The sequence below is a fragment of the Homo sapiens genome, chromosome 17, assembly GCF_000001405.40.
Source record: "Homo sapiens chromosome 17, GRCh38.p14 Primary Assembly".
NCBI lineage: Eukaryota > Metazoa > Chordata > Mammalia > Primates > Hominidae > Homo > Homo sapiens.
The window spans coordinates 39559747-39585130 of record NC_000017.11 but is presented as its reverse complement, the minus strand read 5'-3'; the positions used below and the strand labels follow the sequence as shown (position 1 = coordinate 39585130).

General features: G+C 49.9%; 1 protein-coding gene and 1 long non-coding RNA gene across 47 annotated transcripts in view, besides 2 other annotated features; one reads left to right on the top strand and one right to left on the bottom strand.

Moving 5' to 3' along the window:
- Positions 10001 to 10575: an enhancer, noted in NCBI's record as "H3K4me1 hESC enhancer chr17:37730809-37731383 (GRCh37/hg19 assembly coordinates)". NCBI's record gives its function as "activates a minimal SCP1, AML or CMV promoter by ChIP-STARR-seq in primed H9 embryonic stem cells {active_cell/tissue: H9 hESC(primed)}" and the evidence as "EXISTENCE:reporter gene assay evidence [ECO:0000049][PMID:30033119]".
- Positions 11241 to 11510: a silencer, noted in NCBI's record as "silent region_8457". NCBI's record gives its function as "represses an Ori minimal core promoter by ATAC-STARR-seq in GM12878 lymphoblastoid cells {active_cell/tissue: GM12878}" and the evidence as "EXISTENCE:reporter gene assay evidence [ECO:0000049][PMID:35858748]".
- Positions 12001 to 13721, top strand: LOC105371770 (uncharacterized). The gene is made up of 2 exons (XR_934745.3): positions 12001 to 12203; positions 12983 to 13721. It is a non-coding gene; the product is annotated as an uncharacterized LOC105371770 (long non-coding RNA).
- Positions 17572 to 25384, bottom strand: part of CDK12 (cyclin dependent kinase 12) — a 106074-nt gene continuing 98261 nt past the window's right edge. For 24 of the 46 annotated variants that reach the window (XM_047436256.1, XM_011524897.3, XM_011524895.3 and 21 more), the window contains 2 exons: positions 20217 to 20371; positions 17572 to 18343 (listed from right to left, as the gene is read on the bottom strand). The gene's annotated coding sequence lies outside the window, so the exon portion shown is untranslated. The remainder of the gene's footprint in view (positions 18344 to 20216; positions 20372 to 25384) is intronic. The other 22 variants (XM_047436261.1, XM_047436260.1, XM_047436255.1 and 19 more) reach the window with 1 other exon arrangement.

The window sequence follows — 25384 nt, the reverse complement described above, 5'->3', positions numbered from 1 at the left end:
CTTTTGTATTTTTAGTAGAGATGGTGTTTTGCCATGTTGGCCAGGCTCGTCTCAAACTCCTGACCTCAAGTGATTCACCTGCCTCAGCCTCCCAAAGTGCTGGGATTACAGGTGTGCGCCACCACAACTGGCCAATTCTGAGCATTTTCAGCACTCTAATAAGAAGCCCATCCCATTAGCAGTCTCTCTCCACCTGCCTTCCAATACCTCAGCCCTAGGCAACTGGAATGATTTTTAAATACTAAGTCAGATGATGTCACTCCTCTGCCTAGAACTCTGAGCCCTCAAGTGGTGTACCTTTTCATTCAGAATGAAAACCTGAAGGCCCTAGACAGTCTGACCCTAGGGTTCTCTGGACTCAACTCCTTCAATCTTCCCCTTGCTCATTCCCTCTTCCAGACACTCTGGGAAAGCTATTGCCTCGGGGTCTTTGCACTGGCTGTTCTTTTTGATAGGAAAGTTCTTCCCCAGATATCTGACCTCTTTCAGATCCATACTAAAATAGCACCTTCTCTAAGAGTCTTTTCCTGGCTGCCCCATTCAAAACTGTACTGCTTTTCCTTTCTTCCTTTTTTTTTTTTTTTTTTTTTTTGGAGACAGAGTCTTGCGCTATTGCCCAGGCTGCAGTGGAGGGGTGTTATCTCCACTCCCTGCAACCTCCACCTCTCCGGGTTCAAGTGAGTCTCCTGCCTCAGCGTCCTGTGTAGCTGGGACTACAGGCATGCACCACCACCACATCCAGCTTTTTTTTTTTTTTGTATTTTTAGTAGAAATAGGTTTCACCATCTTAGCCCAGGCTGGTCTAGAACTCCTGACCTCAAGTGATTTGCCCCCCTCAGCCCCCTCCCAAAGTGCTGGGATTACAGGTGTTAGCCACAACACCTGGCCCACCTTCCTTGGTTTTTTCTTTTTTCGTATATGTTTCACCATCTAACACACTATGTATTCTACACATTTATTATGTTCATTGTCTATCTCCCCCCACTTCATACACAAGCTCCTTGGTTGGGGTTGGGGGTTGTTTTTAGTAGCACTCCCTGCACCTAGGACAAGACCAGGTACATATTAGGTGCCCAATAAATAAATGTGGAGCGAGTAGATGAATGGACTCAATAATAAAGGTATGGGGATCAAGGATCTCAAAAGTGGCAACCATTCTTGAGGGGCAGGCGATGAGACCCACCTGGTGCCAAGCATTCTCTGTCTTCTCTCTACTGGGGCAAGAGTTGGTCATTTCCTCCTTTTTGGTGGAATACTCTGGGAACCTAGCTTCCTCTGGGTATTAATTGATATAAAAGTAAGTAGATGAGCTGGCACGATGCCTGTGTCCCAGCTACTTGGTAGGCTGAGGTGGGAGGATCACTTGTGCCCAGGAGTTTCAGACCAGTCTGGGCAACACAACAAAACCTCATCTCAAAAAATAAAAGTAGGTGGAATACTCCCCCATCTCCTTACCTCCTACTCCACAAGAAAGGATGAAGTATGCCCTCATGGTAGGGAGCATGGATAGGAGCTCTTCCTTAAAACTGGCAACTGGGGTGGTTTGTGACTCTATTAGGAGGGATAGGAGTTAGACAGCTGGAAGGATTTACCAAAAGTTAGGAAATGAAGTAAAGGAATGAGGTGTCTTCTCCTTTTTTTTTTTTTTTTTTTTTTGAGATGAAGTCTCGCTCTGTCACCAGGCTGGAGTGCAGTGGTGCCATCTTGGCTCACTGCAACCTCCGACTCCCAGGTTCAAGTGATCTTCCTGCTTCAGCCTCCCAGATAGCTGGGACTACAGGCATGGGCCACCACACCCAGCTAATTTTTGTATTTTTAGTAGAGATGGGGTTTCACCATGTTGGCCAGGATGATCTTGATCTATTGACCTTGTGATCCGCCTGCCTCGGCCTCCCAAAGTGCCGGGATTACAGACGTGAGCCACCATGCCCGGCAGAGGTGTCTTCTCCTCTTAAGGGCTAAGAGAATTAAATCCACTAATCTTCCTGTGTGCCTTCCTTTACGTCTTCCTGAATAGTCAGCAATAGATCCTCCGAACTCCAGACCTCATTCCTCTCCAGTTTCCCTTCTCCACTCCCCCTCATCCCTTTTCTACCTCCCTCAGCTCAACGCCATTTGCTGGGGCCAAAATAAGGACCAGCTCCATATGTACCCAGGGAATATTAAGCCAGGTTGAGAGGGAAGAGCTGACTTCTAATGTATGGCCCAATCACCTTATGGCAGTGTGGTAGAAGGGAAAGGCTGGGGCTTTAGGCCAGTCCTGGCTCTGAAGTTGGTCAACTTCTCTGAGCCTCAGCTTTCTCATCTGTTAAATGGGGCTAATAATATCTGCTTTGCAGCATGTGCAAGTTGGAAATGGCTCACTGGCACAGAGTAAGCACTTATTTTTATCTTATTTTATTTAAAAAAAAATACTTCCTGGCCGGGTGTGGTGGCTCATGCCTATAATCCCAGCACTTTGGGAGGCTGAGGCGGGTGGATCACAAGGTCAGGAGATCGAGACCGTCCTGGCTAACACGGTGAAACCCTGTCTCTACTAAAAATATAAAAAATTAGCCGGGCATGGTGGTGGGCGCCTGTGGTCCCAGCTACTTGGGAGGCTGAGGCAGGAGAATGGTGTGAACCTGGGAGGCGGAGCTTGCAGTGAGCCGAGATTGCGCCACTGCACTCCAGCCTGGGCGACAGAGCGAGACTCCATGTCCAAAAAAAAAAAAAAACTTCCTTACAGAGGACATGGTAGGCACTTAATAGTATGGTGATGATGATGATGATGATGATTATGATTATTATTATTTTGAGAAGGAATCTCACTCTGTCATCCAGGCTGGCGTGCAATGGCGCAATCTCAGATCACTGCAACTTCCGCCTCCCAAGTTCAAGAGATTTCCCTGCCTCAGGCTCCCAAGTGGCTGGGATTACAGGTATGCGCCACCGTGCCTGGCTAATTTTGTATTTTCAGTAGAGACGGGGTTTCACCATGTTGGCCAGGATGGTCTTGAACTCCTGGCCCCAGGTGATCCCCCTGCCTTGGCCTCCCAAAGTGCTGGGACTGCAGGCATGAGTCACTGCGCCCTGCCTATAGTATGATTATTATTCCTTGGGCTCCAAAAGGCCCTCTCTTTCATCCCCATGGATAAGGAAGGGCCTTTCCTCCCATCGTTCTCCATCTGGAACTTTCATCTGGACAAGAGAAACAGTTTCACGGCTGGCTTCTCTGCCTCCAGTCTCACCCTGTTCCAATCCAACCTCTACACTCTGCCAGAATTCTTTTTCTAAAATTCAATTCACTGCTGAAAATTCCTCCAAAGTTCCCCCATTGCCTACCAGCACACAGCAAGCAAGCGATTAAGAGTTTGGGCTTGGTGTCAGACCTGGGTTTGAAACTTAGCTCTGTCACTTTCTAGCTGTCTCTCTCGGGCCAAGTTACTTCGCATCTCCGAGCCTCTGTTTGCTCATCTGAAAAATGGGATAATAGTACTTGGTTCATGTGGTTATTGTAAAGGAGAAACAAGATAATCAATATAAAGCATTTGGCATACGAGAGATGCTAGCTATGCCTATTATTATGACAACGTGATTTAAATCATAGTTCTTGAGCACAGCATGCAAAGCTGTCTGTAGGAGTCAGACAATAGGAAGAACTTCCCAACTTGCCGAGGATTGTCAGAATGAAGCATCAGGCCTGCCTATCCAACCTTGTTTCCTGCCATCCTCCGCACGAACCCCATGTTTTGGTGAAGAAGCGCGTTACTCACTGCCTCCCATGCTGAGCCTCCTTTCGGTGCTTTTGCACATGCTGTTCTTGCCGCCTAGAATGCTCTTTCTCTCCTTGCCCACCTAGCAAACTCCAACTCATCAGTCAAGACCTAGTTCAGCGCCGGGCGCCGTGGCTCACGCCTGTAATCCCAGCATTTTGGGAGGCCGAAGCAGGTGGATCACCTGAGGTCAGGCGTTTGAGACCAGTCTGGGAAACGTGGTGAAACCTGTTCTCTACTAAAAATACAAAAATGAACTGGGCATGGCAGCATGCACCTGTAATCCCAGCTACTCAGGAGGCTGAGGCAGGAGAATCGCTTGAACCCAGGAGGCGGAGGTTGCAGTGAGCTGAGATCACACCACTGCCCTCCAGCCTGAGCAACAGAGCAAGACTCTGTCTTAAAAAAAAAAAAAAAAAAAAAAAAAAAAAAAGACCTAGTTCAAGCCTTCTATCCTCTGAGAAGCATTCCTAGACCCCAAGCAGGGTCTATCACATCCTCATGCTTCACCATCCATTGGGGTTAAGAGCCACAGGCCTTAGAATCAGGCTGCCTGAATTGGAATCTTAGTTCTGCCATTTGGTAGCTGGGTGATCTTGGGCAAGTTACTTCATTTCTCTGGGCCTCAGTTCCCTGATCTGGAAAATGGGGGTGATGATAATAGTATCTATCTGATAAGGTGGTTGTGAGGAGTAAACATGTTACTATATACAAAGGATTTGCTCCCATATTTGGCATACCATAAATGCCTAGTAAGGGTAAGCCACCATAATTCTTTTTCCAGCCTCTTTTGTCTTCCAGGGCAGGGGTCAGTCCGCATGTCTGTCTCCCTTACCAGGCTGTGAATTTGACGGGCTGAGGCTAGAGCTGATTCAGGCTGTGTTCCAGGTCTCAACCCCAGCACAAAGCTGGCGTAGGGCGGACACGCGGCACCTCTGCCTGGGTGGGCAGTCATGAAAGCGCTCCTAATGTGCTAGGCTCTGTGCTAAAGCTCTGATGTGTACCATCTCATTTGTTCCTTAGGATAATCCTATGAGCTGGTTACTAAATGTTCTTCCCATTTCATAGATGAGGAAATTAAGGCCCAGAGGTAAGTGCCTTCTGGCGCTAGTAAGAGAGCAAACAGCAGAGCCAAAGTCCAACCCTCTGAGCCTCAGTTTCCTCATGTATGCAATGGGATGATAGCTGTTCTTCCTACCTCAGGTTAACTCTGTGAATTAATGTATGTAACTATAAGAGACAACAAGGATGGGGCTCGTGTCCTCCCTATGAACTGGGTAATGCTTTGTTGAGGACAAAAACAACTTTTCTGGAGGTGAAACTGAGGAGTAGCTGAGACTCAAACTGCCCAAGGCCCCAATATACCCCTCTCCCTAGGGTTTGTCTGCAGCCTAGGGCCAATTCAGCAACCTCTCCCCTCTCCTGGGCCCACTGCCAGCCCCTCCACCCATTTCCCCCACCCATTGCCACTGAAAGACAATGGTGGGCAGGCCCGGCCTTTGTGAGAGAGGTCAGGCCAGTTAATCTTGGGCTGGCTTGGGGAGGGGCATGTAGGGGGACCAGAGGAAGGGAGTGGGGGCTGCATGCGGCGGGGGAGGAGGGGTTGGTGGGTGGACAGACAACAGTGAGTTGGTAAGAGGACGTTGGAGGCAGGGGGCCTGAGAAGTAAAAGCTTGAAACAGGCTTTGGGGAGCATTTCCTCCGAATGTAGATTTGAGCTCCTATTAAACTTGCCAAAAATTTGTGTTAGCTAATGGATTCTTAATTCTGTCTAAAATGAGAGAGGGAAAATTATGCCATTCATCTTGTATTGGTTTGAAATTACATCTGACACCTAATCGATCATACTGTGGAACATTAACTCTTTGGAAGAGACCCAACTTTTTCTCTCTCCCTCGCTTTCCAGGGCTCTGGAGCCACCCCCCACCCCTGATTCCTTCTTTTGTATTTCATTAACTAAGCAAAGCTCTGGCTGTCTCTGGGGGTGAGGGGGTGGGAGTTGGGGAAAGGGTTCATTTGAACTGAGGAAGATAACCAGGCCCCCGAATGCTCTACCTATAGTCAGAGTCCACATTTCCAACCTTCAATTGACCTCCTCTCTCCTTCTGTTTTTCCCAAGCATTCGGAGATGTAGAAATGCAGAATGGAGGCACTGGGGTGTGGGGTGACCTCAGAGCCACCTTGGGGGCACCAGGGAGAGGGTGGGAGCCAGGCAAAGCAGTGCTGGCACCTGGGGCTAGGGCAGGGGCCATGGTGGTGGGGGCTCACCTGCGACTTGCCTGGCAGATGGGTGAGGAGGAGGAAGGCAGATGACAATAGCTTTGCCTCTGGGGATCCTGATGAGCTCCAACTGAAAACCCCAACCCCAGACCTGCTTTTCCAGGAGGAGGACTTTTTGGCAGCAGGGAGAACCCAATGGAGGCCGACAGACCTGGGCTAGGATTCTGGCTTCACTCCTGACAAGCTGTGTGACCTTGGGCAAGTTATATAAGGCCTCTGAGTCTCAGTTTCCTTCTCTGTCAGAGCAGAATAATAATGCCACAGCACAGCGCTGGGCTGAGGGCTAAATGACATAATCTATGTAAAACTGGGACAGAGCCTGGCACACAGTAGATGCCCAGTAAAGGTGACAAGTCAGAATCCAGATCTCCAGGACCTCTCCCTGCTTCTGAGCGTCCCCCATTCCCCCTCATTCCCCTTCCTCTCTCCGACTTCCCACTGCCTGACCCTTCCTTCAATGTAGATCAAGGGCTGAGAAGCCACAAGATGGGAAGGAAGGAGGCCTGGGCCCCTGGGTCTCTGCAGGGACCATGGCCCTCCTCCTCCCTAGAGCTATTCTGTCTCCTCCAAGTTTTGGGGGTTGTCTCCTGCATGGAGGGCCCTCTCAGCAATCCCCAACCTGCCTAGAAGGTGGAGTCTCTTGAGGAAGGGAAGCTCTAGGAGGTGAGACCAAGAGGGGGCCTCCAGCTGGGAGAGAGCCACTTGCTTTTACTAGGGCGCCTCTGACCTCTGCCTGTGGTTCCAAAGGGCTCCTGTCTCTAATTTGGACATCCCATAATTTTACAGGAGAGCAGTGGATTGGGCTAGGAGTGGGGCTTGACTATCAAGAGCAAGAAAGAGCAAAGGGAAATAGGTGGGAGTGAGAGAGGAGGGGGCAGGGACATCACCCCCACCTCTATTTCCCAGGAGACACCATGGCTTCTCCCTTAGGTTGGCTTTGGACACTAGGGGAAGAGAAGGTTCCTAGTCCCTCCAGCTCCTCATGAAGGGGGTCATCATGGAAGGAATGTGGCATGCAGCTGACCTCTGGTACAGGACAGCAAGAGGAAGCTGAGATGCCTCTTTCATAAAAATTTGGGCAGCTGCTGGGCGCAGTGGCTCATGCCTGTAATCCTAACTTGGGAGGCCAAGTTGGGTGGACTGCTGAGCTCAGGAGTTCAAGACCAAGCTTGGCAACACGGTGAAACCCCCTCTCTACTAAAATACAAAAAAATGGCCGGGTGCCATGGCTCACGCCTGTAATCCCAACTCTTGGGGAGACCAAGGTGGGTGGATCACCTGAGGTCAGGAGTTCCAGACCAGCCTGGCCAACATGGTGAAACCCCGTCTCTACTAAAAATACAAAAATTAGCTGGGCGTGGTGGTCTGCACCTGTAATCCCAGCTACCCAGGAGGCTGAGGCAGGAGAATCGCTGGAACCTGGGAGGCAGAGGCTGCAGTGAGCCGAGATTGTGCCACTGCACTCCAGCCTGGGTGATAGAGCAAGGCTCTGTCTCAAAATAAATAAATAAATAAATAGGACCAGGCACGATGGCTCATGCCTGTAATCCCAGCACTTTGGGAGGCCAAGGCAGGCAGATCACGAGGTCAAGATAAAGACCATCCTGGCCATCATGGTGAAACCCCATCTCTACTAAAAATACAAAAATTAGCTGGGCGTGGTGGCGGGCGCCTGTAGTCCCAGCTTCTTGGGAGGCTGAGGCAGGAGAATCGCTTGAACCCGGGAGGCAGAGGTTGCCGTGAACCAAGATTGTGCCACTACATTCCAGCCTGGCGACAGAGCGAGACTCCATCTAAAAATAAATAAATAAAAATAAAATAAAATACAAAAAATTAGCCGAGTGTGGCAGCGTGCACCTGTAGTCTCAGCTATTTGGGAGGCTGAGGGCTGAGGCAGAATTGCTAGAACCCAGGAGGTGGAGGTTGCAGTGAGCCAAGATCACGCCACCGCACTCCAGCCTGGGTAACAGAGCAAGACTCCATCTCTACAAAAAAAAAAAAAAAATTTGGGGCAGCTTTAGACCCTCTTAGCACAGACTTCACCCTCTTAGCACAGACTTCACTCTCAAAAGGCACCTACAAATGCCTGAATGAATGCATGGGCAGGTGAAGGGCCCTGGCTCATTCAAGGTCGCTGTAGAATTCCTAGAGTCAAGGTCACTCTAGGAATTATAAGCTTCTATTAGTTATCTGTCCTAAGTATAGGAAAGAATGGCCTAGAATGCCCCAACTATATTCCTGGACTTTGTGGAGGAGGCCCAATGTAGAGACCAGGAATGATGAAAAAATTTCATTTTACAGAGGAGGAACTTAGGACTCAGAAAGGGAGGTATAACAGGCCAGAGCCACGGGGTAAGTCAGGAAGCTCAGAACTGGGGCCTCTGACTCTCAGTCCAGTGCTCTTCTTCACCTGCATCATGAATCTGAAGGAACATTTTCAGCCACTTGTCCAGTCCCAGGAGAGCCTACAAGGGGCTGGAGTTTTGGGAGGCAGTGGGAGAGTTGCTCCAAGAGGCTTTTCCTGAGGAGAAAGGAACAGAGGGGCTGGGGAGGCTTCTTAACTCCCTCTCCTGCCTCAACACACACATTGACACACAACGGCAGAAATTTTATTTCCAAATGTCCCTTCTCTGGGGAGCTCGCTGTTTCCCAGGAGACGCCGGGTAGAGATGCCCCTTCCTGCCAGCCTCCCTGGCAGCCACTAGGCGGCTGTGGCTTCATCTTTTGCCTGGAGACGCCACAGTGAGGGTCCCACATGGTTTGTATTAATAGGAAGTGGAGCTGAGGGCTATAGGCGCTGAAGATAGGGCAGGCCAGCCAGGGATGGGTGGGCAGACAGGCCAGTGGGTAGACTAAGGCAGCCACACACAGGGCCACACTGAACAAAGGTCCTGGGCAGCTTTGCAAACCTAGATACATGAGCTAACCTGATTCTGGCTACTGGCAAACTGGAAGTATTTTTATTGTGTTTTCCCTTTGAATATAAAGATACTGGATGACTGGTGTAAAAATAGGGAATTCCAACAAAAGGGAATGAACAAAAGCCCCAGACTCAAATTTTAGGATGTCTTTTCCCGTAGGAAATGAATTAGCCTCTGACAGAAGTCTAGGGGAAGAGTCTGCTGTACTCAGGAAGGACAGGAGGAAGCATCATGACACTGTGGAATGCTCTAGAATCTGGGAGGTGTCCCTGCACCGACCCCTAGTATTGGAGAGCCTGCTGTGTGCATTGGTCTGTTGTCCCCAGATCAGTAGTTTCACAGTGGGGTTTTATTTCTTGAGATGGAGTCTCACTCTGTCACCCAGGCTGCAGTGTGCAGTGGCACGATCTCAGCTCTCTGCAACCTCTGCCTCCCGGGTTCAAGTGATTCTCGTGCCTCAGCCTCCTGAGTAGCTGGGATTACAGGTGCGCACCACCATGCCTGGCTACTTTTTGTATTTTTAGTAGAGACGAGGTTTCACCATGTTGGCCAGGCTGGTCTTCAACTCCTGACCTCAGGCGATCTGCCCACCTCGGCCTCCCAAAGTCCTGGGATTACAGGCATTAGCCACCGAGCCCGGCCTCAGTGGAGTTCTTTCCATCCTGTGTTTTTTCCATACTCCCAACCTGCTGGGTGCACCATGCTGCCCTGCTGTTGTCACCCAGTCAATGTGGGTTGCAAGAATAATGAATTTACAGAAGAGGAAACAGGCCCTGAGATAGACACTGAAGTTGCCAGAGAGGCTCAGATCACATTCACAAGCATGACAGGTATACATTAAACGGCCTCAAATTCTCCACCAGTTCCCTCTTTCCCAGGGCTGAGAGGGATCAAAGGTTGGAGTCTATGGAAGAAACTTCCCAGGTCTGGCCCTTGGACAGGACAGGGGCAAGGCACGAGAGGGAGACTGTCAGGGATTGTGGGAAGAGAGGACCCAAGGAGAGAAGGACAGTAGTAGAGAGCCTGGTGTAAACCTAGATATTGAATCCGTGCAATGCCAATGAGGTAAAGAGCAGTTTTGCCCCTCTACTGTGACAATGGGGCGGCTTTGGCTGGAAGGTTTGAGGTAATCTTCCAGTTAAGCAGGGATTTAAGCATATGGAGAAGACTCACCTCCCTCAAGGTATCCACCCAAAACAGCAGCAGGGATAGAGGTCAGCCCCTTATCTCCCTTTCTTCTTTTTGCCAGAGGACTTAAGGTCCTGCCATCTACACATTACATATTATCCCATTTAGTCATTGGCAACTGGCTTATCCCTATTGTATAGATGGATAAGCCATGGCTAAGAAAGGTAAAGCGACTTGCCCAGGCTACAAACCAAGTGGCGGAACTAAGTAGATGCTCCAATCTCAGTTCTGGCCCCAGATGCTCTTTTTTTTTTTTTTTTTTTTTTTTTTTTTTTTTTTTTTTTTTGAGACGGAGTTTTGCTCTTGTTGCCCAGGCTGGAATGCAATGGTGCAATCTTGGCTCATTGCAACCTCTGCCTCCCGGGTTCAAACGATTCTCCTGCCTCAGCCTCCAGAGTAGCTGGGATTACAGGCGCCCGCCACCACGCCCAGCTATTTTTTTTTTTTGTATTTTTAGTAGAGGCGGGGTTTCACCATGTTGGCCAGACTGGTCTCGAACTCCTGACCTCATGATCCGCCCGCCTCGGCCTCCCAAAGTGTTGGGATTACAGGCGGGAGCCACCGCACCCGGCCCAGATGCTCTTTTTAAGGTGTCAGTACTTGGTTTGGGCGTGGGGTGGGCACACCATGCTGGATTCTGGGGAAAAGGTCCTCTCCCTCACACAGACTCCTGGCCTTCCTTTAAGCTTAGATCCTTGCGGGGTGTCCTGTGTTGGTTGGGTCCAGACCCTGCCCCTGCTTCTACTGAGAACTGTACTGAGAAGATGCCCAGGGAGGCACATAAGACACGCGTCACCAGGCCTTGACACACGTGACCAACGCTCCTCAGAGATGTCACCTTTCCCGTTTTACCAGGGCTTGTTTTCCTGAAGTTCTCAGTCCTCCACTGTGTTCTTTCCCCACCCCAACCTTTCCATATCCTCCCGGTTCAGAAGGCGCAAAATCTTTGCTGAGGGCGGGCCGAGGCAGGGTGTACGCGGCCCAGAGCTGGAACCTTGGAAGAGCACCGACCGGACACTGCTCCGCTCTCCCTTGGGGCCCTCCCCTCCCCGCCCACCAAGAGAGCAGAGGCGGGGCCGGTCCTCCATCCCCGCCCTGCCTGGCCAGCCACAGCAGGGTGGCCTGAGGAGCGGCTGGGGGCGAGGGCCGGGGAAGGGGCCTGCAGATGCCGCCTCCGCCTCCCTTCCTTGTCCGGGGCCCCCATGGTGTCGGGGAGCAGGAGGAATCAATCAGGATAATGAAGCCGCAGCCTGCCACGCACTGCGGGGGCACTGAGGAGCGGGGGCCGGTGCCAAGTCCGCCAGACGGTTCGGAGGAGCGGAGCCCGGCGCGGCCCGGCGGCGGCGGCGGCGGCGGCGGCGATGGCGGAAACCCGAAGGCCGCGCGCTAAAGCAGGACGCAGCTCCGCGCAGGGCGCTGGCAACCGCGCCTTGGCAACCGGGACGCCCGAGAGAAATCTTAAAGCTGCAGTGGCCTCTTTCCCCTCCATTGCGGTCGCCGCCAGGACCCCAGGGGAAATGGTCGTGCGGGCAAAGGTTGCTGGTGGGGGTCAAGCTCTGAGCCTCTCAGGACTTGGGAGGCCGACTCATACACTCGCTCACTTATTTATTTTATTTTATTTTATTTTATTTTGAGACGGCGTCTCGCTCTATTGGGTAAGCTGGAGTGCATTGGCGCGACCTCGGCTCGCTGCAACCTCCGCCTCCCGGGTTCAAGCGATTCTCCTGCCTCAGCCTCCCGAGTAGCTGGGATTACAGGCGCCCGCCACCACGCCCGGTTAATTTTTTTGGACTTTAAGTAGAGACGGGGTTTCACCATGTTGGCCAGGCTGGTTTTGAACTCCTGACCTCAAGTGATCTGCCCGCCTCGGCCTCCCAAAGTGCTAGCATTACAGGCGTGAGCCACCGCGCCTGGCCGTATTTATTAAATGTGTGTTGAACTTACGTACCCGAGCACAGGCTAGACACTAGGGAGGGGAACGGGCGGTGATTAGAAATGAACAAGATCCTGCCAAGAGGAATTCACAGTCTAGCGCGCGAGGCAGACCAGAATGGCTGAGGTGAGCAGAGCCTTGTGTTACCCAGGATAAAGGGGCTTGGCTGGAGGGCTGACGGGGGGTGTTATAAAATATTCCTGCAGCACCTGCCTTGCTCCAGGCCGTGGGTTGGATGCTTCTTTCCTGGGCTGTGTTATTATCCCAAAGGCCCTGTGAGTTGGGTATTATTATTACCCCTATTATCGATCCCATTTTAAAGATGAAGAATTAGAGGCCCACAGAGGTGAAAGGACCTAGCCAAAAATCTCGTTTTATTTTTTGGAGAATCTAGGACTGGGTCAGTCCTATGACCATAGGACTCCTGATTCTGGCCAATTCTCATTATGCATGATGTCTGCAAAGTCAGATCTGAGTGAGGACTTCCAATATAAATTGTGTAAGAAGTAAGAAAGGAGAAAGGGCAGCTGAAGGGAGATGGGCACTTCATCCTTCTGCTGCCCACTACCCTGAACCTGTCTGCCCCTGTCCTCGTGAGCAGGGCTGGATGTGAACAGAGGACTAGATGAGGTGACTTCCAGACACCCTCTGGTTCTGTGATTTGATAGATTCTGCCTGAAGTCCAGGCACTGTGCCACCCTTCTGGGCAGCAGTAGTTGGCAGGGGGCTGCAAGCTGGGGGGTATTCCAGGCTTCTGAAACAAGAGGTCAGGGTTGGTGGGGGAGAATAAGAGGGGTGGTAAGGGGGCTTTGGCAAAAGAAAGCTAGAAGCAGTATCACTAAAAATGCTGGGCCTCATCGTCTGTTCTCTTGTCTACCTATCTTTCTTTTTCTGCATCCATTCAGGCAAGAAACCTGTGCCAGGGCCTGGAGTAGGCTCAGAGGCTGTTGGTGAGGCAAAAAGCATGTTGGCTTTGGAGCCCAGCTCATCTGGTTTCAAATCCTAGTTCTGTCATTTACCAGCTACGTGACATTGGGCACGTGACTCAATCTCCCTGAGCCTCAGTTTCCTCGTCTATAGAATACAGGCATTAATACCTACATTTCAGGGTTATTGTAAAACTTAATTGAGGTGAGAAAAATGTATGTAGGTGTCTGGCATATGGTACTTAATAAATGGTAAATTTTAAAATGTCTTTGCTTATTTTGGTAGTCTGATAGCTTCTAAAGATATGTCCATGTTCTAATCCCCAGAACCTGTGAATGTTACCTTAACTGGAAAATGGGTTCATCTTTGAGGATGTGATTAAGAATCTTGAGATGGGGAGATTATTCTGGATTATCCAGGTGGGCCCTAAATGCCAACACAAGTGTCCTTATGAAAGAGAGAGAGAGAGAGAAATTATACATATATCAAAGAGTAGAAGGTGATGTGAAGACAGAGGCAGAAACTGCAGTGATGGGGCCACAAGCAAAGGAATGCTAGTAGCCACTAGAAGCTGAAAGAGACAAGGAACAGATTCTCCTCTAGAGCCTCCAGAAAGAGCATACCCCTGCCAACACTTTGATTTTGGTATAATAAAATGGATGTTGAACCTCTGATCTCCAGAAGTGTAAGAGAATAAACTTCAGTTGTTTTAAGACACCAGAGTTGTGGTTAATTTGTTACAGCAGCCTTGGGAAACTAATACACTTATAATGGAGATTTAGTCTGGAACAAAACCAAAAGTTCATGGTCTAGTGGGACAAGAGAGAAGTAAAGAGACAGTGCATAGAGGCACCCAGAAGGGAGGCACCTTGTCAGAACTGGGGAGTGGAGGAGTAAGGTAGGCAAGGCTGTTGGAGTTGGAGGACTTAGCCAACTGAGGGGCTGAAACAGGAAGGGCATACCAGGCAGAGAAACAGTGTAGGTAAAGGCATGGATGGAAGAAAACACTGCCTTCAGAAAACTGCCCATGTTTGGGATGGCAGGTATGTTGCGGGCTGCGGGGGCAGCATGACAGAACTGCTGAGGTGGGCAGCAGGGGCAAGAGAGCCAAGGATCTTGGCTTCCACCCCAGAATGGAATCAAACCCTCCACTCTGCCCTGGCACTGGGCCCAGGTCATACAATCCCAGACTGTCGGTACTGGAAAAAACCCTTAGAGACCATCCAGTAGTCTTGCCATTTCACACATAGGGAAACTGAGGCTCACAGAAAGTGAGCCAATCCAGGGAATAAGCAAGAACCAGATGGCTGCACTCTGGCCTCTCTCTTGAGCCTGGGTGTCCCATATCTGAGGATCTCAGAGATACTGTCTGGTGGGCCCTCTGTAATCCACTTCCAAAAAGCAGTGGCCTTGTGGTCTCTAGACAAAGAGTGTGTTATTTGCATATTATTTACATGTTGATAATTAGATGAGAGAGGCAGATTCTTTCAGGCCCTCCCCTTCATGTCCCCCTGTCCTATTTCACTCACATCAAGTTGTTCTTCCTCATACCTCTCTTGACCTCAACAACTTCTCCCAGAATTCCAGCCCAAGCCTCACTCCTCAAGTTTCCGTACCTAGGCCTAGCTCAACCCCTACTATATTAAACATTTGGTCCTGCCTAGCAAAATTGCTTGGTGGGTCGTTAGTGTATCTAGTCTAAGTGGAGGATCTTGGAACAGGTTACAATGGAAAGGGAGGCTGTCCAGCTTTGAAGTTTTTTCTGGGAGTGGGGAGAAGTGAGCACTGTCTCCTTGTAGCCCAGTGGCCATCTGAATGAGGCTGTGGGAGTGGGGGAGGAGGGTGTTCCTTGGAGATCTGGTGGGCAGGTATCAGCTGCATGCCCCAGGCCTGCCCCAAGCCTCTTGGCTGGCAGCCACACCAGCCCCTGAAGGAGCTGGCTCCTTCTTTGAGGGAGGAGGAATTCTAGGGAAGGTCTTGGAGCATCCCTTGGCCTGGTAGCCTAACATGAGTAAGGTGGATGTCACCATGTGTGTTACTGTGGACCCTCCAATGGGGACAGCACATCCAGATTCTGAGGGCTGCTGTCAATCCAGAAAATTGTGAGGCACTGTGCTAAAGTAAAGCATGGTGTCTCCCTGAGGGCAGGCACTCAAAAAATGTTTTCTGATAATGAGGGGCTACCTACCTCCTGGAGATAGGTAAGGAGAGGGAATCACAAGGAGGCACAGACTCTGCCTCTCTCGCTTCCCATTAGCCCCTTCTTTCCTTTGAAACCAAGGCTGTTTCCAAAACCTCTCCCAGATGAGATGTCTGAGCCTGTCATTTGGTGATCACCAGAGAAGGCACCACACTGTGGCCAAGACAGGTGCACAGGATGACCTCAGGTTCCCCCTGCCCCTGTCCTGGCAGAAGAGCTGCAGAGATCCATCACCATGGCTGACTCAAGCAGCTGCCAGGATCTGGGAAATTAGGATCCACGGAAAAACCTGGGGCACAGTTCAGGCTAGCAACTTGCAGAAGCCAGCTTGCTCTGGGGTTACAATAGTGTCCTGGATAGGGAAAGAAAGACCGCCCTCCATGTGCAGATAATTCCTCTCCATGCAGGGGTGATGTGTGAGCTATGTGTATATGTGCTGCAGGGACCTCATCAAGCATCCCAGCCTGCATGCACAGCTGTGTGCACACATCCCATTGGCAACAAGAGTATGTTGTGTGTGAGTGTCTTCTTGGAATTCCACCTTCCCTCTTCTCTGCAGAGCAGGCCTTCTCTTCTTGTTTCCTGGTAAAACGGGAAGTGAGGGAGTAACTTCAGTTTCATTACCTCTAGCCCTTCTCCCTTGTGGAACATCCTGTATTTGGTCATTTGCCTATGACAGCAAGGAGTAGATCCATTCTTGGTCCAGAGTGATCCTAGCTCCTCACTGGTCCAGATGACCCCCATCTTGAACAAATTCCTCTGCCCTGGTACCTCTTTCTTCCCTTAGGATGTCCCATGCCAATACCTCCTCTAATGTCCAAATCAAAGGGAGGGGTGGGAGGAACTTGGGGTGATGCTGTGGGTGTGGGAGGAGGAAGGGTGGATCAGATACTGTTCGATTTTGCCCAGGTCCCCTCGGAGCACTGCTGCTCATTTAAAATTCCGATTTAAAGCCGAGCGGCTCTTTAAATTTCCACATTAGCATGCCGCCCTGATGCCAGGCCAAGATGTTGGGATGGATTTGGCAGGAACGCCTCCAACAGCAGCAAGCAGCAGCATTTGCCAGCAATAAAACAACGCATGAATAAAAGAAGGCCGCTTGGCAGCAGCAGCAGCCCAGGTAGCTGGGTGAGCCCAAGAGGGGCATTCATATGTGGGGGCTCAGAGGCATGAAGGCCCATGCAGGGGCATGTGTGTGTGAGGGCTTCTGTGACTGTCTTGGCTTTCACCCCCAATCTATGCCTGCAGTGGAATCTGGGGTGAGGGCCCAGGCAAGATCAGGATTTCTCCCTTGTGCCTGTCTCACCCTCCTCCCCCCAGGGGTTATCCTCTTGGAGGGGACAGATGTTGCCTTTGATAAGGACACAAGGACTTGGCCTGAAGCCTTGAGTTGTCCTGCTTCATTAGGGCCCAGAGAACAGGTGGGGTCAGAGAGAGCAACACTGCCCAGAGTGGCTTCCCAGATCCAGGACCCTAGATACCTGGGTGCTGACGGGCACTGTTAGGATAAGGGGGCTGAGAAGCTGCTGTGAGCACTGGGTATTGGCACTGAGCTGGATGAAGAGATGCTCTGGGCTGGGAGATGGGCAAACGTCTGTGTGCTTGTTCAAGGTTAAGAATGGGGAATAGCCACAGACAGCAAGGAGCTACCACGTTTGTGCTAACTTTAACTCTTAACAGATTTGGGAACATTGTTTGAGGTCAGATGGTAAGGGCAGCAAAGGAGTCAGATAAAGCCCTGGGCTGGAGGCTGGACACCTCATAAAGGTCATTTTATCTATACCCTGCTTCCCAGGGTCTAGGGAGTACAGCCCCAAAGGACTGGCTGTTCCTGGATTCTGTGTTCCTCTGCTCCAATCACCTGGCCGAAGCTCATCATCTAGCTCCCCAGACATTTTCAGGATCAAGCAGCCTGTCCTGCATCTGGTAAACTGCCTATCCCTCCTACTTGGTTTAACCATCTCTTTCCCTGAAGTCCAGGGTAAGAGGACAGAAGCAAACAGAGGGGTGGCAACAGATGGTCTCTGCAGTCTCGGCAAGGCAAAAAAGAGGGATTTTCTTCAGAGCACCTTCCTCTGATGGAACTCCCCTCCCTTTCCAGCTCACATGAATGATTTCAGGCCTCCATGTGGGGAAAAACTGTTGAGACTTTGAATTATCTCAGTCCCTGGAAAGGCTGAAGAGCAGACAGGCAGGACCAGGCTCTGGCACAGCAATGGCCCCATACCCTGAAACTAGGACTGGTCCTGTCCTGATGAGGGAGAACAAGGTGGCCTGACCTCCCAGGTACTTTGTTCCCTGGTCCACACATTGGGGTGGGTGAGCTCAGGGTGAGGGAGTGGCTAAGAAGGGAGTTTAGGCCAGAGAGATGTTCTTTTGTCATTTATTCATTCATTGAACAAGTATTTACAAAACAGCTGCTTTATGCTAGGCATTGTTTCTGGGCACTGGGAACACATTGGTGAACACAGATAGAAATGGTCACTGACCTTGTGGAACTTTCCATCCAATGAAACTAGGATCATTATTCAAATGACTGGACAAATACATAGGAAATAACTGTGTTAAGTGCTCTGAAGGAATGATATATAGTACCATGGAAGTGTGTAACTGGGGGACTTGACTGAGTCTAAGGAGTTGAGAATGAGTTTGCAAAGGACACAGAGAAAGACAGGTCAGAGCAATAGGAGGAGAACTGGCAGTGACATCAGAGAATCAAAGGAGGAGGTGGTCGACTGCCGAGATATGGGGAGCTATGAGACACCTATTTGCCTTGACTCCTCACCCGCTAGTTGTGAGTACAGGTATGGAAAGGCTCTGCCATTGTACCTGGTTCACAGTTGGTGCTCTGCAATGTTAGCTCCCTTCCCCCTCCCAAAGCAGAGCCTCCCTCCAGGGACCTTAGATTTCTGGAACAAAGTAGCTGCCCGGGCTTAGCCTCCTCTGTCAACTCAGGCTCCCAAACTCCAGCCATCCAGTCCTCAGGGAAAGGCCCCAGGCCTCTCCACATTAGTCCCATCACATGGAGCCTTACCATTCCCTAACCTACTTCCTCCTTTGTGCTGGTCTTCCATGAAAAGGGGCTGGGGTCTGGGTCTCAGAGAAGGATGCCATTCTGGGTCTGCTTCTGGAGCTGAGCCTGAGAAGAGAAGAGAGTTGGAATTCTCAGCCCCTTCTAGTGCTGCCTGGGGTGAATCTGAGTGTCTTAGGTGGGGAGAGGGAGTAATGGGGAGTTGGGGAGGGGGGCTGCCCACCCAAGACGGCGTAGAGCCCAGAGCTTTTTCCATCGCAGACACCCCATCTGTCTGCCACAGAAGGCTCGGGTTGGAAGAGGTGCAGAGAAGGGGGGTATGGCGGGTGAAACTGTACAGTCTGTGAGTTAGCACGATGGCAGCAAAGGTGCTGACTGCCGAAAGGGGCAGAGGGTCAGGGTGGGGTGTCGGTAGGGCTGCTGTCTTGGCAGCCGAAAACTAGAGGCCAGAGGTTGGGTCTGAGGTGAGAAAAATGATAGGGACAACACTGCACGACTCTCCCTAGACTGCTTGGTGTTTGATTTTGATTTTTATAGCTCCTTGCCCTAATGACCAGAGAGCAGAGTCATACCCCTCTTGCCAACAAACTAATGGAAGACCAGAGGCCGTGACAGCTGTGGGAAGGGACATTCCTAAGCCCAGGGCTGGGCTGGATTCATGATGCCTCCCTCTCCCTAGCAATCAGACCTTTTCCAGAACTTAAAATATTTTAGTTAAATGTGACAGTTTGCAGCATATTTTCTTTCACATATTACTTTAACTGATCCTGCTAAAGTCCAGTAAGGTAAACTTTATTATTATTCCTGGCCTATAGATGAAGCAACAAGGGCTTTAAAAGATCAAGTGGATAATAACCTGGGATCACAGGAGAGTAAGGAGAAGTGACTAAATCCAAGTCTCCTGACTCTACATACAGGCCTAGGCTACTGTAGACCTTCCTTGCTCATTTTTTGGTTATTGTACAGCCCCCACTGCCAGGTCAGGTGTGGGGTTTTCTAGTGGAGAGCTCAGAAGAACTCCTTCCTAGTGACTGAAAAATGGGGAAGTACCCAGACCTTGGGGGACACACATCAGCACAGCCCCCTCTCCTGGATACCAACATCCAGACACTAGGAAACTGGAGATCCAACAGGCTGCTTACAGATAGAAATATGAGAGGGAAGCTGGGCACGGTGGCTCACGCCTGTAATCCCAGCATTTTGGGAGGCTGAGGCGGGTGGATCACCTGAGGTCAGGAGTTTGAGACCAGCCTGACCAAGATGATGAAACCTCATCTCTACTAAAAATACAAAAATTAGCTGGGCGTGGTGGTGCATGCCTGTAATCCCAGCTACTTGGGAGGCTGAGGCAGAAGAATCGCTTGAACCTGGGAGGCAAAAGTTGCAGTGAGCTGGGATCATGCCATTGTACTCCAGCCTGGGCAAGAAGAGCGAAACTCCGTTTTTTTTAAACAAACAAACAAACAAACAAACAAACAAACAGGCTGGGTGCGGTGGCTCACGCCTGTAATCCCAGCACTTTGGGAGGCTGAGGTGGGCGGATCACAAGGTCAGGAGATCGAGACCATCCTGGCTAACATAGTGAAACCCCATCTCTACTAAAAATACTAAAAAATTAGCTGGGCGTGGTGGCGGGCGCCTATAGTTCCAGCTACTCAGGAGGCTGAGGCAGGAGAATGGCGTGAACCCAGTAGGCAGAGCTTGCAGTGAGCCGAGATTACACCACTGCACTCCAGCCTGGGCGACAGAGCGAGACTGTCTCAAAACAAACAAGCAAACAAACAAACAAAAGAAATATGAGAGGGACATAGACTGGAAGTGGCCAGGAAGCAGGGGCAGGGAAGGGCGTGGGGAGTGGCAAATGCCAGCCTGGAAGCAGCTGTTAGGGTCCACTCCAGGACCTGGAGCTGTCCCTTAAGAATCCCTGTGGATATCCCCTTCCCGCATTCCAAGTTCTAAATATTTTGTTTCCCCTCTCTACCTGTACTTAAGAAAATATATTTCCACAGCTTCCCTTGATGCTCTACGTACTGCAGTCTTTTCTTCCACTCTTCCCTGTTCAGAAGTTCTTCCTCAGTTGTAACCTTCTTTCTTCAGGCTGCGGATAATCCCTCTAAGAGCTCTCTAAGGCAGGTGCTAAGGGAACCCAAGACAGGGTTTCAGTTATTAAATATAAATAGACAGGGGAGGGGAACTGAATATAGACACAGATATTTTATCTCTCCGTCCGTGTTAGTTATTAAGAAGAAAGCACTAGTGGTTGCTAAGCAACAGGTCTCTATAGAGGACAAGGTACCAGAGGAAAAAGCCTCCTTTGACTGAATATAGAGGTGGGAGGGTAGGAAAGGTGGGGGTCAAAGACCTCTGAATAGCAGGCCAGCTATAGGGAATGGTTGGTTTGTCCTCCAAGACCAGCCCTTTCCCCAGGCCTTAGCAAACTCCGCCTTTACAACCCTCAGGATTGGTGGTAGGAGGAAGGCCTTAGGCACTCCTCCATTCCTGCCAGGAGGAGGGAACCTGGTTTCCATAGCAACCCAGAAACAATCCTGGCCTTGTTTTGCTTATGGCTTCTCTGTAACCCCCTCTTGGGACACACACTATCATAGACTCCCTTCTCTGACCCTCAACTTCTGATTTGAGGGAGAGAGCCCATAGAAAGGTTGGGGGGTAGTGCCACAAAAGCTGGTCTCACTTGGTCCTAAAGTGACCTATTAAGACTACAAAGGAGGGGTGACTTAGGGGTAAGGTCCTCCAGGTATCCTCTGACCTCTGCATCTTATAAGGGGCTGTAAAATGCCAAATGGTGGCATCAGATGTAAACTGGTTTGCTTTCTAAAGGGCGAGTACAGACTGGGGTTCAAGGTCAGGAGAGAATGAGAGGACAGGGTTTTTTGTGCCCCTTGGCCACCCAGGCCCCCATCCTCCTCGACCTCAAGTCCACCGTCATCAAGAACCGGAAAATGGAGATATAGAACATTAACGTATGTCAAGTATAAGTGAGTGGCACCGAGGGGCATAATCTGTTTTTCTAATATGACCACAAGCAGAGTGTTAGAAGAATTAGGCCGACAGCTGCTGGTTTTTCCCCCTTCTCTCCCCCCTTCCTCACTCTCACTCTCCCTCTCCCTTCCTCCTCGGCGTTTGCACACACCAATGGCAGCCGAGCCCTGCTCGCGATTTCTCTTAATCTTCCTCCGCCATCCTGCGCTCTTTCCGCAGGCGGTGCTGCGAAGCCGGCAGAGCCTCGCGTCACACCTTACTGCTCTCTGAGATTGCTCCACAGAGAGCTCAAGGAGATGGCAATTCGGCGCTGATGCCGGCTGGCAGCAGTTGGGAGAGTGGAAGAAGAAGAGAGAGGGAGGAGGGGAGGGGGAAAAAAGTTGGCACAGATACCAAGTTTTTCCCTAGAGAGATATGGGGGCGGGGGGGGGGCGGGAAGCAAGAGAAGAAGAGAGAAAATGACACAGAGAAATGGAAACAAGTAAAAAGAGAGAGAGAGAGAGAATATTGAGTTCTCTCAGATATTTACATGTGGGTATCCCTAGCCCACCTGACTCATGGCCATCTAAAGATCACACCACCCAGTCAGGGTTCCCACTCACCCACTCCCTACCCTGCCTCGCTTACACACACACACTCTCCCAGCCAACCTGGAAGTCAAGAGTGGCCCAGGCATGTTGTGTGTATTCGTGTGTGTGAGTGTGTGTGTGTGCATACGCCTGTATGTTGTCTCTGTTTTGGATCGCAGTAGAATGCAGTATGTAAATGAGATGGTTATTACCGCAATGTTCATCAAGCTGAGCCGAGAAGACATTAATAGCCTGATGAATATGCATGTGAATTTGTTAATTAAGTTAATTATTCTGCTGAAAATGCATTCGTCTTCCAAGGACATTTTCCCAATGATTTTTACATGCTCTAGCCATTAGTCATGCTATATTTTATCAGGGAAATGAGTTTGCTTAAGTTGTAAAAAAAAAAAAAAAAAAAAAAGAAAAGAAAAAGAAAAAAAAAGGAGAAGAGAGAGACAGAGAAAGAAAGGAGGAAAAAAATGAGAGAGGAAAATGCGTTGAAGTTGAGAGTGGAAAAGCAGCTGAGGCAGGCCTGAAGTTTGAGGCCCAGCTGGGCTTTTGAAGCCTACCCTCGATTTTTATGGGTACCTCACTCTACAATTTTTTGCCCTTTTTTTGATGACAAACTTTTTTTTCCAGTGCCAAATTTCCAACACATTAATTAATTGTTGTAGCCAATTAACTGTAGTTGTGCAAATGAGTTTAGCACTAATTACCATGCAGTGCCTGTAATCACATAAAAAACTTGCTGAGAGAGAGAGGAAAACAGAAAGAAGGAATGGGAATGGAGTGGTACCAGGAGAGGTGGGGACCTGAATAGAGAAGCAGCCAAGGAAAGGGAACAAGGCAGGGAGGGGTCTTGAGATTTCCTCACCATCTTGGCTCTAAGAGAAGGTAGCTGTCTTCCCAGCCACAGTCAGGACCTCCCAGAGCCAGAAAATCTCAGAGTGGGTAGAGGTGAAAGAGCTAGTAAAGAGTGGTCTCCCTTTGTCTAAGAACTCCCAACCAGAGGACAGAGGTTCAGAATGGGTATCTCTAGTTGTTTCGATGATAAAGTGTGGTGCCTATATAATTCTTATAGTCCCCAGCTGGGCACGGTGGCTCACGCCTGTAATCCCAGCACTTTGGGAGGCTGAGGCGGGTGGATCACGAGGTCAGAAGTTTGAGACCAGCCTGGCCAACATGGTGAAACCCCGTCTCTACTAAAAATGCAAAAATTAGCTGGGCATGGAGGTGCGCGCCTGTAATCCCAGCTACTTGGGAGGCTGGGGCAGGAGAATCGCTTGAACCCAGGAGGCGGAGGTTGCAGTGAGCCGAGATCGCGCCACTGCACTCCAGCCTGGGTGACAGGGCAAGACTCCATCTCAAAAAAATAAAAAAATAAATAATCCTTATAGTCCCCATTCCAGGTCTAGCCTCAGTGTTTATATCCCACATGGCTGGGACTACTGGGCAGGGACAGTGGGTACCACTGGGAGATATGCTGTTCCTGATGGGCCCAAGAAGATGGAGGAGTGATACGTAATCTTAGCCTGATTCTGCAGCTGTAAGTGAGTGGGGAAAACTGTTAGGAGTCCACAGCTGCTGGAATAGGCCAAGAGAGCAATGGTAACATCAACTATAAAAGAGCCAGCTCCAGCAGGAGGTGGGAGGTGGGAGCCTTTGGCCAGACAGAACTCCCAGGAGAGGAGCCAAACCTACTCTCCTACAAATTGGCATCTCTGCATTCATCATGTCTGGGCCAACTCTAGGTTTCCACCTGTCAGCTTCAACCAGTGCCCCAGAGGCTGAGTGACAGACAAAACAATTTCTCTAGCTTCTCCTGAGCTGTCCATGAGTTCAGTTGCCATGAAGAACGGTGGTAAAGTCAGCACTAAGCACTGAACTGGCATTTTTGCTTCCACTGTGCTCATGCCCTCTCTACCACGTCCTAGACACTGAGCCTGCCCAAGGGGTGTATGTGGATGTATGGGTTTGTAAATGAACTATAGTTCCCCTGTTCAAAAACAACAAAAAGTGCTATATCTCCCTTACCCCTCAGAATAGAGAGCTCACTTATCATAGGTCTCAATTTCCTCAGGCCTCATAAACACATTCAACAGCACATTTCCAAAGAGGACCTTAATATCTCATCCTCTGATAGGCATCCAAAGGCTGGGTCCTCCCTTCCCCATTCCAGGTCTCAGGTGTCTGGATAGAATGCTCAGGCGCACCATTCACTTTAGCCTTGTTCTCTGGCAAAGGGGAAACAATTTCAAGGGCACAGGTCCCCTGATCCATGACACTGCTGCTTTTTGTTTGTTTTTTTTTGAGACAGAGTCTTGCTGTGTCGCCCAGGCTGGAGTGCAGCGGCACGATCTTGGCTCACTGCAGCCTCCACCCCCTGGTGGAGGCGATTCTCCTGCCTCAGCCTCCTGAGTAGCTGAGATTACAGGTGCTTGCCACCACGCCTGGCTAATTTTTGTATTTTTAGTAGAGATGGGGTTTCACCCTGTTGGCCAGGCTGGTCTCAAACTCCTGGACCTCAAGTGATCCACCTGCCTCGGCCTCTCAAAGTGCTGGGATTACAGGCATGAGCCACCCCACATGGCCTGTGCCGCTCTTTTGATCTATGGACTGAAGTTGGCTGTGAGGACCTGAGTGACCCAGGCTGCTCCAGTGCTCTCCCTGCCCCCAACATCTCTCTGCTAGTAGCACCCACACCCTCTTTTCAGCAACCTTAGTGAAGTGTAGAAAGGCCTCCACCTGAAAAGTCAGCTGTGGTGGAAAAAGCCTTATTATCTTGGATTCCAGGCTCTTCTTTGTGACTTAACATGTGACCTTGGGAAAATGATTTAACATGAGCCTCAATTTTCCACATCTATAAAATGGAGATAATAGTAGTGCCATGCCCAATTAAGAAGTTTAATAATTATGAATATAAAACATTCAGCAAACAAGTGAAATGAGCTATTTCATTCATTGCTAATGAGTACAAAGTGAGAGAACCTTGCTGATGGGCAACCTGGTAATATAAGAAGAAGTTTATGTTCACACAAAAATCTGTACGTGAATGTTCATAGCAGCTTTATTTGTAATAGCCAGAAACTGGAATTAGTCCAGATGTCCTTCTACAGGTAACTGGCCAAACTGTGGTATATTCATACCATGGAATAAATAAAAGGAATGAACTATTGATACACATAAAAACTCAGATCTCAGGGAATTATGCTGCATGAAAAAAGACAACCTAGGCACAGTGGCTCATGCCTGTAGTCTCAGCAACTTGAGAGTCTAAGGCAGAAACACTGCTTGCGGCTAGGAGTTTGAGACCACCCTGGGCAACATAGCAAGGCCCCATTTTACATTCCTACAAAAATTTAAAAATTAGTCTGGCATGGTGGCAGGCACCTGTAGTCTCAGCCACTTAGGAAACTAAGGCTTGAGCCCAGGATTTTTTTTTTTCTTTCTTTTTTTTTTTTTTTTTAACATTTTTTCTTTTTTATGAGATGGGGTCTTGCTGTGTCACCCAGGCTGGCGTGCAGTGGCATGATCTTGGCTTACCACAATCTCTGCCGCTCAGGCTCAAGAGATCCTC